The sequence below is a fragment of the Homo sapiens genome, chromosome 2 (assembly GCF_000001405.40).
Source record: "Homo sapiens chromosome 2, GRCh38.p14 Primary Assembly".
NCBI classification, from domain to species: Eukaryota; Metazoa; Chordata; class Mammalia; order Primates; family Hominidae; genus Homo; species Homo sapiens.
In genome coordinates this window covers 91887287-91901718 of record NC_000002.12, presented here as the reverse complement: position 1 = coordinate 91901718, position 14432 = coordinate 91887287, and the positions used below count along the sequence as shown (strand labels likewise).

Sequence of the window (14432 nt, the reverse complement as noted above, 5' to 3'; positions counted from 1 at the left end):
GTTGTGCGTGTGGGTGTGGGACCCACTGAGCCAGGCACAGGAGAGAATCACGTTGTCTGCTAGTTGCTAAGACCTTGGGAAAAGTGCAGTATTTGGGTGGGAGTGCCCTGTTTTTCCAGGTAGTCTGTCACAGCTTCCCTTGGCAAGGAAAGGGAAATCCCCCAACCCCTTGTGCTTCCCGGGTGAGGCGATGACCCACCCTGCTTCAGCTCACCCTCTGTGGGCCTGCACGCACTCTCCAACCAGTGCTGATGAGATGAACCAGGTACCTCAGTTGGAAGTGCAGAAATCACCTGTCTTCTGTGTCGATCGTTCTGGGAGCTGCAGACCGGAACTGTTCCTGTTTGGCCATCTTGGAACCCATCCAGGACATCTGGTAGAAGAAATTTGTAAGCAGCAAAGTGTTCAATTTATGACCTGAGTGCTCTTAAAAGTGTTCAGTTTTATGCACTCACAAAAATATGGTTTGGAATTAGAACTTATGTTTAAAAGGGAGCAGAGCATAAAAATTTGGAAGATTTGCAGCCTGATGATGTGATAGAAAAGAAAACCCATTTTCTGGGGAGAAATTCAAGCTGACTGCAGAAATTTGCAAAATTAACAAGGAGCCAAATGTTAATTGAAAAGATAATGGGGAAATTGTCTCCAGGGCATGTCAGAGTTCTTCACGACAGCCCCTCCCATCACAGGGTTGGAGGCCTAGGAGGGAAAAAATGGTTTTGTGGGCCAGGCCCAGAACTTTGCTGCTCTGTGCAGTCTTGGGACTTGGTGCCGTGTGTCCCAGCCATGGCTAAAAGGAGCCAATGTACAGCTCAGGCTATTGCTTCAGAGTTCAATCCCCAAGCCTTGGCATCTTCCACATAGTGTTGGGTTGATATGCTAGTTGGCCATTTGTATTTTTTTTTAGAAAAAATGTCTATTCAAGTCTATCTTAGTCCATTCCTGCTGCTATAACAAAATACCTTAGGCTGGTAATTTATAAAAAACAGAAATTTATTTCTTGCATTCTGGAATGTGAGAAGTCCAAGATTTAGGCTACAGCAGACTCAGTGACTGGTGAGGTCACTATATTCACTATACATAGCACCTTCTCTGTGTCCTCACGTGTTCAAAAGGCAAAACAAACTCCCTTAAGCCTCTTTTATAAAGGCCCTAGTCCCATTTCTGAGGGCTATGACTTCATGAACTTATCATCTCCAAAATGCCCCACCTCTTAATATTATCACATTGAATATTAGTCTCCAGCATATGAATATTGGGAGAACATTTGGACCATAGCAAAGTCAACTGACCATTTCTCATATAGGTTGTTTTGTTATTGAGTTGTTATTCTGCATATATTTTAGATATTAACCCCTTATCAGGTATGTGGTTTCCTGGGAGGTTTTTGATTCCTGATTCAGTTACTAGTTATAGGTTTATTAAGATTTTTTATTTTGTGACTTAGTCTTGGTAACTTGCATGTTACTAGGAATCTGTTCATTTCTCCTAGGTTATCCAACTTGTCAGTATATAATCATTCATAGTAGACTCTTAGAATCCTTTTTATTTCTGTAATATCTGTTGCAGTGTCTTCTCTTTTGTTCCTAAAAGAAGTTGAGTCTTCTTTATTTTTTTTCTTAAATATTCTAGCTAATGATTTGTCAATTTTGTTGAACTTTAAAACAACTACTAGTTTCATTGGGTTTTTTCTATTCTCTAGCCTTTTATTTTATTTTATTTTATTTTATTTTGAGATGGAGTTTTGCTCTTATTGCCTAGGCTGTAGTGTAATGGCGTGATCTCCGCTCGCTGCAACCTCTGCCTCCCAGTTCAAGTGACTCTCCTGCCTCAGCCTCCAGAGTAGCTGGGATTACAGGCATGCACCACCATGCCCGGCTAATTTTGTATTTTTTAGTAGAGACAGATTTCTCCATGTTGCTGAGGCTGGTCTCAAACTCCCGACCTCAGGTGATCCACCTGCCTCGGCCTCCCAAAGTGCTGGGATTAGAGTCATGAGCCACTGCAACTGACCTTCTGCTCTAGACTTTATTATTTCCTTCCTTTTGCTAACATTGGGTTGAGTTCTTCTTTTTCCAGTTTCTTGAGGTGTAAAGCTAAGTTGCTGATTTTAGATCTTTCTTCTTTTTTAAGGTAGGTAGTTAGATACATAAACTGTCCTCTTCACATTCATTTTGCTGTATCCCACAAGCTTTGGAATGTTGTGTTTCCATTTTTATTTCTCTCAAGACATTTTATAATTTTCCTTGTGACTTATTCTTTGACTATGTATTAATCAGAGTTCTCCAGAGGGTCAGATCCAATAGGAGATATAGATATAGATATAGATATAGATATAGATAATAGATATAGATACATATACATGTATCTAAAAGAGAATATATTTATATATATATGAAATATAATTTATTAAGGAGAATTGGCTCACATAATTACAAAGGCAAAGTCCCACAATAGGCCATCTATAAGCTGGAAAATGAGAGAAGCCTACAGCATGGCTCCCAAGGAAGGCAGTGACATGGCTCAGTCCAAATCTGGAAGTCTCAAAACCAGGGAAGCTGACAGTGCAGCCACTAGTCTGAGGCCCAAGGCCTGAGAGCTCCCAAAAGGCTGCTGATGCAAGTCCCAGGGTCCTAAGACTCAGGCCAAAGAACCTAGAGTTTGATGTGCAAGGGCAAGAGGAGAAAAAGGCATACTGCTCTGGAAGAGAGAGAAAGTGCATAAAACAGAAATCTAAGCAAGCTGAATGTTTCCATTCTTCTGCCTTTTTGTTCTAGTCACACTTGCAACCAATTGCATGTTGCCTACCCACAATGAGGATGGATTTTTCTCTCTCAGTCCACTAACTCATCCATCATTCTCCTGTGGCAGCACCCTCACAGATATACCCACACACAGTGCTTCATCAGGCATCTAAGCATCCCTCAATCAAATTGACAATTAATATTAACCACACAGGCCAATTGGTTAAGAGAGTATATTTTTGTAATTTCCACGTATTTATTACTTTTCCTTTTTCCTTCTGCTATGAATTTGTAATTTCATTTAATGTGGTCAGAAAAGATATTTGGTATGAGTTCAGTTTTCTTAATTTTTTAAAAACTTGTTTGTGGACTAGCATGCCATCTATCCTGGAAAATCTTGGTATGTACTTGAGAAGAAAGCATATTTTGCCATTATTGGGTGAAGTGTTCTGTATATGTCAGACAGGTCCAATTGGTCTACAATGTTGCTCAAGTTCTGTGTTTTCCAGTTGATCTGTCTGGTTATTGTATCCATAATTGAAAGTGGAATATTGAAGTTTTCTGTTATTATGATGTTGTTATCTATGTTACCCCTCAATTCTGTCTATGTTAGCTTCATATATTTAGATGCTGCACTGTTAGTTGCATATACATTTATAATTGCTATATCTTCTTGGTCAATTGGCCCTTTTATTATTATGTAATATCCTTGTCTCTTGTGCTATTATTTGACTTAAACTCTATTTTGTCTAAGTATGGCCATCCTTGTTCTCTTTTGGTTACCAAATGCATTGAATATCTTTTTCCATCCTTTCACTTTCAACCTTTGTGTGTGTTTAGATCTAACATAAGTCTCTTGCATATAGTATATGTTTAGATTTTTTTAATCCATTCGGGCAATTCTCTGTCTTTTGATTGGAAAATTAGCCTATTTGCATTTAAAGTAGTTACTGATAGAGAGGGGCTTACTATTGTCATTTTGTTCATTGTTTTATACATGTCTTGCAGGTATTTTTTTCCACTTTTCCTCTCTTTCTGCCTCCCTTTATGTTTCACTGATTTCTTTTTTTGGTAGGGATGTGCTTTGGTTCCTTTCTCATTTTTATTTGTGTATCTTCTGTAGGTCTTTTCTTTGTGGTTACTGTAGAATTACATGAAAACATCTTATAGTTATAATAATCTATTTTAAATTGACAACAACTTAAGTTTAATCACATACAAAAACTCTACTTATTTACACCTCCTTCTCACTTTGTTATCAATGTCACAAAATATATATTTTATATTGTTTATTCACATAATTTAATACAGTAATATTATGCTTTTACCTTTTAAATTCTATGCTTCAATTAAAAGTGAATTACAGGCTAGGTGTTGTGTCTCACACCTGTAGTCCCAGCACTTTGAGAGGCCAAAATGGGAGGATCGCTTGAGCCTAGGAGTTTGAGACCAGCAAGGCCTTATCTCTGCTAAAAATTTAAAAATATTATCTGAGTGTGGTGGTGCATGTCTGTAGTCCCAGCCACTCGGGAGGCTGAGGTGGGAGGATAGCTTTAGCCCATGACTGCAAGGCTGCAGTGAGCCATGATCAAACCACTGCACTCCAGCCTGGGCAACAGAGCAAGACTTTGTCTCAAAAAAAAAAAGTAAAGGAAAAAAAGTGTTTTGCTTACCACCATTAGAGTATTAAAGGATTCTATGTTCACTCATATATTTACCTTTACCAAAGAAGTTTATATTTTATATGTTTTTGTATTTCTATCCAATGCCTTTTCATTTCCACTTGGAGGACTCCCTTTAACATTTTTTGTAAGGTAGGTCTAGTGGTGATCAACTCCCTCACCTTTTACTTCTCTGGGGAACTCTTTGTTTGTCCTTCACTTTTGAAGTAGAGTTTTACTGGCTATACAGTTCTTGGTTGACAGTTTTTTTTTTCTTTCAGCCCTTTTAATATACCACCCCATTCTCTTCTGGCCTGTAGAGTTTTTGCTGAGAATTCCATTGATTACCATATGGCATCTCCCTTGTATGTGACAAGTTGCTTTGATCCTGTTCCTTTCAAAATTCTCTCTTTGTCTTTGACTTTTGACAGTTTGATTGTAATGTGTCTCATTGTAGGTCTTTTGCAAATTATCCAACTTGGAGTTCTTTGAGCCTCTTGGATTTGTATGTCCATTTCCTTCTTTAAGTTTGAGAAGTTTTTGGTCATTATTTTTTTAACTGGCTCTCTGCCGCTTTATTTTTCTCTTCTCCTTCTGGCACTTTCATAATGCATACATTGGTCTGCTTGATGGCATCCTGTAAGTCTCTTAGGCTGTCTTCACTCTTCACTCCTTTTCCCTTTTGCTCCTCTGACTCTATAATTTCAGATGACTAGTCTTCCGTTTCACTGATTCTTTCTTCTGCTTGATGTTATTGAAACTGCCTTTGCAAAAATTATAACTGAAGAAATTATGACAGCAAAAGACATCAGACTTAATCAACTCCATCTCGCTTCTAGCATTTAAACTGTCCTTGTTCATTCCTGGCAGTAGGATGAACTAATTTTGGGAAGGTATTCAGTTCATGGTTTGACTCTGAAACAAAGTTGATAATAACCATTTCCCAAAAAGATCCCCTTCTTGCCTGGAACCAGTCTGCCTTTGCAGGATAAACACATTAGCTATAACATTAGAAATTACAGTTGAGGGGTTATGCAGCCTCTGGCTCCAAGAGTCTAAACCTCTCCAAATTGCTCCTGGGGATAACATCACTATTGTAAAACCTAAAATCAGTGCTTGAGATATTTTGCAGACCCTGCACTGGATGAATCAGCTGACACCACCCAGACTGGTAATATGGCTCAACTAGTTCTGCCACCCCACCCACAAACAGAAGACAGCAAGAAAACATCACTTCAACCCCGTCTGATTTCATCTCCAACCTGATGAATAAGCAGTCCCCACTTCCCAAGCCCCTACCTGCCAAATTATCTTTAAAAGTTCTGATCCCCGAATGCTCAGGGAGACTGATTTGAGTAGTAATAAAATTCTGATCTCCCGCACAGCCAGCTCTGCCTGAATTACTCTTTCTCCATTGCAATTCCCCTGTCTTGATAAATCAGCTCTGTCTAAGCAGGACACGAGGTGAACCCATTGGGCAGTTACACAGTCTATTGGTGATTTCCGATAGTGAATTTTTCAATTGAGCTATTGTATTCCTTAGCTCCAGATTTTCTGTATGATTCCTTTTTTTTTTTTTAGTTTCTATCTCTGTTAATATTTTCATTTTGTTCATGAATTATTTCCTGCTTTCACTTAGTTGTCTATTTCTGTTGTCACTGGGCTTCATTAAGAGAGTTAATTTGGATTCTTTGTCAGGTAACTGATTTATCTATTTCTTTAGGGTTGGTTTCTGGAGATTTATTTTGCTCCTTTAATTTAGTCATCAGATTTCTCTGTTTCTTCTTATGTCTTGTTATTTTTTATTTTTTATTTATTTTTGCCAAGATTTGGGCGTTTGAAAAAACTGCCACTTCTCCCAGTTTTTATCAGCTGGCTTCATACGGAAGAACTTCATACCTGAATCAGCATGGCTATAGGTTCCAGCAGCCTCTCAAACTTTTTCTGGGAATGCATCTTCTTTGGGTTTATACATTGCAATATCCCAAGTAGAGGTTTGCCAGTTTCTTTTTCTGGAGCTGTTGCTCCCTCTGGTATCTGTCTGTGGTACTGCAGGTTCCCTGGTGCTGCATCATCTCTGACCTCTCCTTTATTCCCAGTGGCTCCCATGCATCCAAGGTATGCCAGTTGGGCGTCAAGTTAGAGAGAGAGAGAGAGCTTCAGGTAACCTCATAAAACTATTCCGTTCCAGTCTTCTCTTTCCCTGCTAACGGAGAAGCTGCAAGTTGAGTGCTTCCCAGCCAAACCAACCTGTTCGAGCTTGGGGAAGGGGTATCATGAGTATAATGCAACAGCTTTTCTTATTTGTTCAATGCCACTATTCTTGGCTTTGCACTTGTCTGTGCTACTACAACTTCTTAATGGTTTATGGAACTCCATAAAGGCTTTTAGACCATATATTGTTTTTCAGTTGCTATCTTTATGGAGAATCAAGGTTTGGAGTCATTCCACCACCTGGCTGACATCACTCTGTTTATATTATTTTTTACTTTTATTATACTTTATTTTCTTGAGACAGGATCTTGCTCTGTCAGCCAGGCTAGAGTGCAGCCTCGAACTCCTGAGCTCAAGGGACCTCCTCCCTCAGGCTACTGAGTACTTGGACTATAGGCACACACCACATACCGGGCTAATTTCTTATTTTCTTGTGAAGATGGGGTTTCACTATGTTGCCCAAGTTGGTATCAACTCTTGGGCTCAAGCAATCCTTCTGCCTTGGCCTCCCAAAGTGCTAGGATTAAAGGTGTGAGCCCACCATGCGCTGCCTGTTATATTTAGTAGAAAATATATCTAAAAATATACTTACGTACTCTATTGAATCCACTACCCAGAGCTTAACTGAACTATTTTTGTGACTCATTCTGTTTTTTTTATTTTTTGCTTTTTACTTATTACAATGAACTACAAGTATGGATATATTAATATTAATTAATATAAAATATACTGGAATCTTTTGTATTTTTTTTCCTTTTTTCTTCACCAAAAGCAGAAACTTAAACATACTGAAATCTTAAATGACCATTGAATGTTTCTAGGACTGACCCTGGAACAAAATTTTTTATGTTGTTATTACATTGTTCTTTTCATGTTTAAATCATTTGTTTCTTTTTCATGTAGTACATCAAAGAAGAATTGTTGATATAGCCCTTACCAGCCATATGCTAAGTGCCACAAGTGTTTCGGTCTCTCTCAATTCTTGTACCTCACTTGGTCTTTTTTTTTTTTCCTTTGGGGGTGTAGCCTCCGTCTTTCACCCAGGCTGGAGTGGGGTGGCACGATCTCAGCTCACTGCAACCTCTGCCTCCCGGGTTCAAGTGATTCTCCTCCCTCAGCCTCCTGAGAACCTGGGACCACAGTTGTGTGTCACCATGCCCACCTAATTTTTGTATTTTTAGTAGAGATGGGGTTTCATTATGTTGGTCAGGCTGGTCTTGAACTCCTGACCTCAAGTAATCCACCCTCCTCAGCCTCCCAAAGCGCTGGGATTACAGACATGAGCCACTGCACCTGGACTACCTCACTCTGTCTTTTAAATTGGCTATGTAAGGGGAGCATCTTGTGCTTGTTAAGTCTTTGTTTTCTGGCCTATTTATATAATGGACATTTCTGAGTTGTGTGTATATATTAAATTATTTGAGAGTATATATTTAATGTACTAAATAGAGCTAAGTGTTTTCATACATGTCACTATAAAAGGACCATTTGCATATATTTGTTCTATAAAATGCTTACTTTTCTTCATGAACCACCTAGATTTGCTTTTCTGATGTGTAGTGTATGTGAAAATATTTCTTTGTGTTTTTTTTTTATTGTGTGCCCCTACAGGTGGTATGCTTAATAACGCCATAGCCTCTATAGGGAACGTATGTATTAGTCTGCTGGCAGTAATTGTTTTGGGACTTTTTGTTCGATATTTTCCAAGTGAAGACCAGGTAAATACAAAATCTATTTTATAGAAGTATAGTATTAGACATTTTTTTCAAAATATTAAACTTTGGTAAGATCCATGAAATTTAGTACTTAACTCTATTTTTCTAAAACTAGCCTCCAATGCCTACTCTGTATTTAAAACTGAGCACAGCAGTGATTGATACAGGTCAATGGCTTTGATTAAAGTCTCTGCTTCCTGATTTGGCAAATAAGGAATGTCAAAAAATATACTTAATGCAGAGTATCCCTCTGAATTATACTTTCCCTTTCTCTACTAAATTGTCTATTGATGTTTGATAATTTCCCCCAAATTTTCCCTTAAACATTTTAGGGGGAGATAGGTTCCCATTTATTTCTGCATATTTTCTGACTGAAATTCACTCCTGCTATCCTTTGACAAAGGCAACACTCAAACTTAGCCATTTCCTGCCTTAAAGGAAAACATGCCATTACTTTTGTATTTCTGTAATTTCCATCCAAATTTAGCTGTAACATATTGACCAAAGAGATATTCAAATATTTTTTAAGAATTCACTGGATATGTTATATGAAATTGGAGATTTTATGGGTCTCTTTTCTTCTTCACTTAAAGTAACACTTTAACCATTTTACTGATACTAGTATCAGAGATGTGGCAGAAGATGAAACGTTACTAATTGGAAATTTTGTTACTTGGTAGTAAGTCTGCTAAAATGTATGGTGAGAAAGAAAATCAAAATTTTAGACATTTAATATAACATTTAAAGACATAATATCAAAGGGTCAAACATATATAATAGATAATGTCAAATCTTGTATTATATATTTAATATAAACTAATTTCTAAATATCTATCTAATTCTAGAAAAAACTTACATTGAAGAGAGGATTCCTTGTTTTGACTACGTGTGTTTCTGCTGTCTTAGGCAGCCAACATATTGGTTTACATGGATCTGGAGGATTATGCACACTAGTGTTGAGTTTCATTGCAGGGACAAAATGGTCCCAAGAAAAGGTGAATATTTTTAATATGCTATATTTTAAAAGCTAAGACAACTGAATTTTTTACATATATTTAGGAAATCCCCTCATTCTGGTTGGAAAATATTCCAAAAGGTTTGCTATCCTCAAGAAAGTGTATGAATCAATCGAGGAAATAAAATATTTAGGAAAAGCAGCTGGAAATATACTAATATGGAATCAGAAGTTGAGTTAATCACATCAGGCTTCTCTTTTTCCCAAGTTTTATATAATATTATTATATTACTTATATCAATCTAATTATTGTATTCATTGAAATTTTAATTATACAATTAATCCATGAAGAATGTTTGTAAAAGGCCAGGCACAGTGGCTCATGCCTGTAATCCCAGAACTTTGGGAGGTCGAGGTGGACAGATCACCTGGGGTCAGGAGTTTGAGACCAGCGTGGCCAACATGGTGAAACCCCATCTCTACTAAAAATACAAAAATTAGCTGGGCATGGTGGCGTGGTGGTGGGCACCTGTAATTCCAGCCACTCAGGAGGCTGAGGCAGGAGCATTGCTTGAACCCAGGAGGTGGAGGCTGCAGTGAGCCGAGATCATGCCATTGCACTCCAGGCTGGGCAACAAGTGCAAAACTCCATCACACACAAAAAAAATAATAATAAACAAATAAATAATAAAAATAGAAATGCTTGTAAAAGAAAGATTTCTTTATTCCCCACCACTGTCAAATATCTAACCCCCTTACATTTTTTTAAGTAACCAGTATTCTATTTATAGACATTAAGATCGTTTCCACTTTTAGTTATTTACAAACAGTGCTGTCATAAACAGTGTTGTTCATGTCTTTTTTTTTTTTTTTTGAGACACAGTTTCACTCTTGTCACCCAGGCTGGAGTGCGGTAGCATAATCTTGGCTCACTGCAACCTCCACCTCCTGGATTCAAGTGATTCTTCTATTTCAGCCTCCCTAGTAGCTGGGAATACAGGCGCGCACCACCACGCCCAGCAAATTTTTGTATTTTTAGTAGAGACGGGGTTTCACCATGTTGGCCAGGCAGGTCTTGAACTCCTGACCTCAGGTGATACTCTTGCCTCGGCCTCCCAAAGTGTTGGGATTACAGGTTCATCTGTAGGAATAGAGTCCTAGAAATGATTTTTTTTTTTTTTTTGAGACAGAGTCTCTGTCTATGTTGCCCAGGCTGGTCTCAAAATCCTGAGCTCAAGGGATCCTCCCATCTTGACATTGCAAAGTGCTAGGATTACAAGCATGAGCTACCACACCTGGCTGGAAATGATCTGTGTTTTATTTTGATGGACACTGCTAAATTATCCCTTCAAAAATTTTGGTTATTTACACTCTGCCAACAGTGCACAAAAATATCTAATACTTTAACTCATCAACAGCACTTGATATTATCACTAGTTCTATTCTTTTTACTATTAAATGACCTCACCATCCAATTCTTATAGTTTCTTACAATTATGTGATGTTGTTATTCTTTATTTACATTTCTCTGATTAGTAGTATAGTAAGCTTCTCTTCATATATTCTTTTTAAAATACCTATGATCTTCTTTGACCATTTTTATTGGGTTATTTATTTTTTTGTTTCTAATTTATAGTTTCTCTTAGTGTTAGGGCTACTGATCCTTTGTTATGTATATATTGCATATAATTTTTGCTTATCTTCAACTTTGTTTATGGTTTCTGGTGTAGGAAAGTAAAATTTCCTATGACCAAACCTATTGGGTTTTCCTGTTTTGGTTTTGGATTCTGCATCTCATTTAAGAAGGACTTTCTCACTGAAGATTATAACGTATAAACATTACAAAGATATACTATTTTGTGTATTATCATTTAATATTTTGGTAGTTTTTGTTTGTTTAATTTGTTTTTTTATTTAGTCTTTTAATCTATCTGGAATTTATCTTTGTGAATGCTGTGAGGTAAGGTAATAATATATACATATGTGTATCTTACAAACTATATATATATATGTACACACACACATACAGTTTGTAAGTTAACTGAACAGAGATAGAACTACATCATGCCTGATGTGTGTGTGTGTATATATATATATATATACACACATAAATATAAATGCATATTCAGACACACATATATACTTGCATGTGATGAATATGTACATACAGATATATGCACATAAACTAGACAGTCATTTTTTGCCAAATTGTTTATTTATTGACCAATTCATTAATAATTCAGTTTTTTAACATGAACTAAATTCTCCCATATATATTAATTCTGAAGTCTATTTAATCCTACTTCTCTATTTCTATGCCAACACTACTGTTTTAAATCACTGCAGTTTTATGTGTCAAAATCTAATATAGATTATACTTCTTTTTAAAGTATTTTTGGCTGTTCCTACACATATTCTTTCTTAGATAAATTTTAGAATCAGCTTGAGAAGTTCCCTAATCAAAAATCATAGTGGCATTTTGCTTAGTATTCTTATATAATCATAATTATAAAAGAAATGAAATGAATGAAATGCAAATCAATAAATAAAATTAAAACTGCTAGAATTTTTTTAAATGGTAAAAGAAACAGAACTAAAACAAGTTTTAAAGATTAAAAGTAACAAATAGGATAATTATACTGTAAAGAGTAGTAACATCGTTTTTCTTTGTTTTTCTTTTTTTAAACTATAATAAGTGGGGATCAGAAAACACAGTCATAAGGGAAATAGTTATGAAGATAGTTTATGCCTCAAGGAAGAGACATCAAAGTTCTTATGTATCTTCTGTTTAAAAAAAAAAATTAAACCCAGACTGAGACTGAAATCTCTTCATCCAAATTCCTGGAGAAGAGCCAGAGTAATGTAGGCCAATAGGGGACTTTCCTGTAATCTTTTAATTGGGGAAGTAGCACTGGGAGGCATTCATTTCCAGAAAGGGAAGCTGGGTAGGCAGCTAAATGAGAATCTAATATATGTTTTGGTTTTGTTTTAAGGAAAAAGTAACTTTAAAGTATTCAACATGGGTTTTTTGGAAGCAGGCCTAGCAGACTTCCAAATTGTTTTTCCTAGTAGTATACACTATATATATCAGGATTCACTTTAATGGGATTGAGTTCCAGGATGGTTGTTAGTGGAAGGCTTCCCAACCCCCTTCTGAGAACCCAAATGTTTGCATGAACTGGGTATGTTCTCATCAGGCATGATGTAGTTCTATCTCTGTTCAGTTAACTTAGAGACAAAATCTGGAACTCATATGAAACATGGCTAGAACCCTAAGGACATCACTTATTCTGTGACAAAATGGCCAAATAGTATTATTTTATTGCTTTGTGAGTTTCTTTTAATCAAATTCTACCTAAGTGTTTGAGTAAAACTATTGAAGTGTTCAGTTTTTATTAATTAAGTTTAACATTTTTATTAAAATAAAGTATCTTAAATTTATTAACTGTTAAGTGACTTTAGGTCAGGCATGGTGGCTCTTTCTATAATGCCAGTGCTTTGAGAGGCCACAGCCAGAGACCACTTGAAGACAGGAGTTCTAGACCATCCTGGGCAATATAGCGAGACCCCATCTCTATAAACAATTTAAAAATTAGCCCAGCATGGTGGTACACACCTGTAGTTCTACTTGGGAGACTGCGAGAGGATTACTTGAGCCCAGGAGTTCAAGGCTACAGTGAGCTAAGATTATGCCACTACACTCCAGCCTGGGCAACAGAGCAAGACCGCATCTCTAAAATACTTAAAAAGTGAAAAAAAAAAGGTGAGGGAGACTTTAACTTTCTGAAATTTATTTATGTGCCAAAATAATTATAAATGTATTTCTCTTTTCTATAGATGAAAGTCCGAAAGATTATTACAAATGTATGGGATATTTTTCAACCACTTCTTTTTGGTTTAGTTGGAGCAGAAGTATCTGTTTCACTGCTTGAATCAAATATTGTTGGTAAGAATAATTAGAGCACAAAAAATATGAAATTCAAAAATATTTAAGAAAATTATAAATACATTTATTTTTATTTACAATATATCTTTGAATGGCTACAAGGACCTTCTTCAGAAACACATGTTGATACACTGTCATATTTTCCTATTGCTCTTCCTTTACACTGTGTGCTCTTTTTTTTTAAACCAAGGACAGCCCTGAATATCTTCCCTGAGTTTTCTAAGGAAATAAATATAAGATTTCTTTCCTGAGGGAACATATTTGATATGATCAGCACTTTTTGAGTACTTTCATTTAAAACTATTGGCTGGGTGTGGTGGCTCATGCCTGTAATCTTAGCACTCTGGGAGGCCGAAGCGGGCGGATTTCTTAAAGTTAGGAGTTCAAGACCTGCCTAGCTAACATGGGGAACCCCATCTCTCCTAGAAATACAAAAATTAGCCAGGTGTGGTAGTGCGCACCTGTAATCCCAGCTACTCAGGAGGCTGAGGCAGGAGAATCACGTGAACCCGGGAGTTGGAAGTTGCAGTGAGCTGAGATTGTACCACTGCACTCCAGCCTGGGTGACAGAGCAAGAATCCTTCTCAAAAAGTAAATTATTATTAATAATAATAAAAGTATTCAAAAAAAGTCTATTAGTTCAGAATTGTATAAATGTCATCTGTCTTATTTTTCATGGTACCTCCACCGTCAGATACTGTCTTGCATTTTACAGAGAATCCTCCATCATATTCATTTTTATTATCATTGTTTTATGTAAAAATTAAACACATGAAGAGACAATAGCCTTAAAATGCTTTTAAAAGTTTTAGAAATCATATTCCTGGGCATAAAGAACACTTCTTCACAAATATTTTGTTATTTATGTTTGTTTTCATCTGTTGTAGGCATATCTGTTGCCACTCTGAGTTTGGCATTATGTGTTCGAATTTTAACCACATATCTATTGATGTGCTTTGCTGGTTTTAGTTTTAAGGAGAAAATATTTATTGCTTTAGCATGGATGCCCAAATATGTACAGGTAAGAACATATTAAGCCTATTGCTTAATGCTTTCGTTTTGATGCTTTTAAAATTTAAAATGAAAAATGTTACTCCAATCACAAAATATGAGCTATTATCCTTACTTTTTAAATGTTTGATTGATCATAACTATTCATTAAAATTAACGTAACCAGTCCCAGCTACTCAGGAGGCT

The 14432-nt window shown here is 36.5% G+C and overlaps 1 pseudogene; it reads left to right on the top strand.

The window, feature by feature from the left end:
* SLC9B1P2 (solute carrier family 9 member B1 pseudogene 2) overlaps positions 1–14432 on the top strand; it is a 48809-nt pseudogene that overhangs the window by 29996 nt on the left and 4381 nt on the right.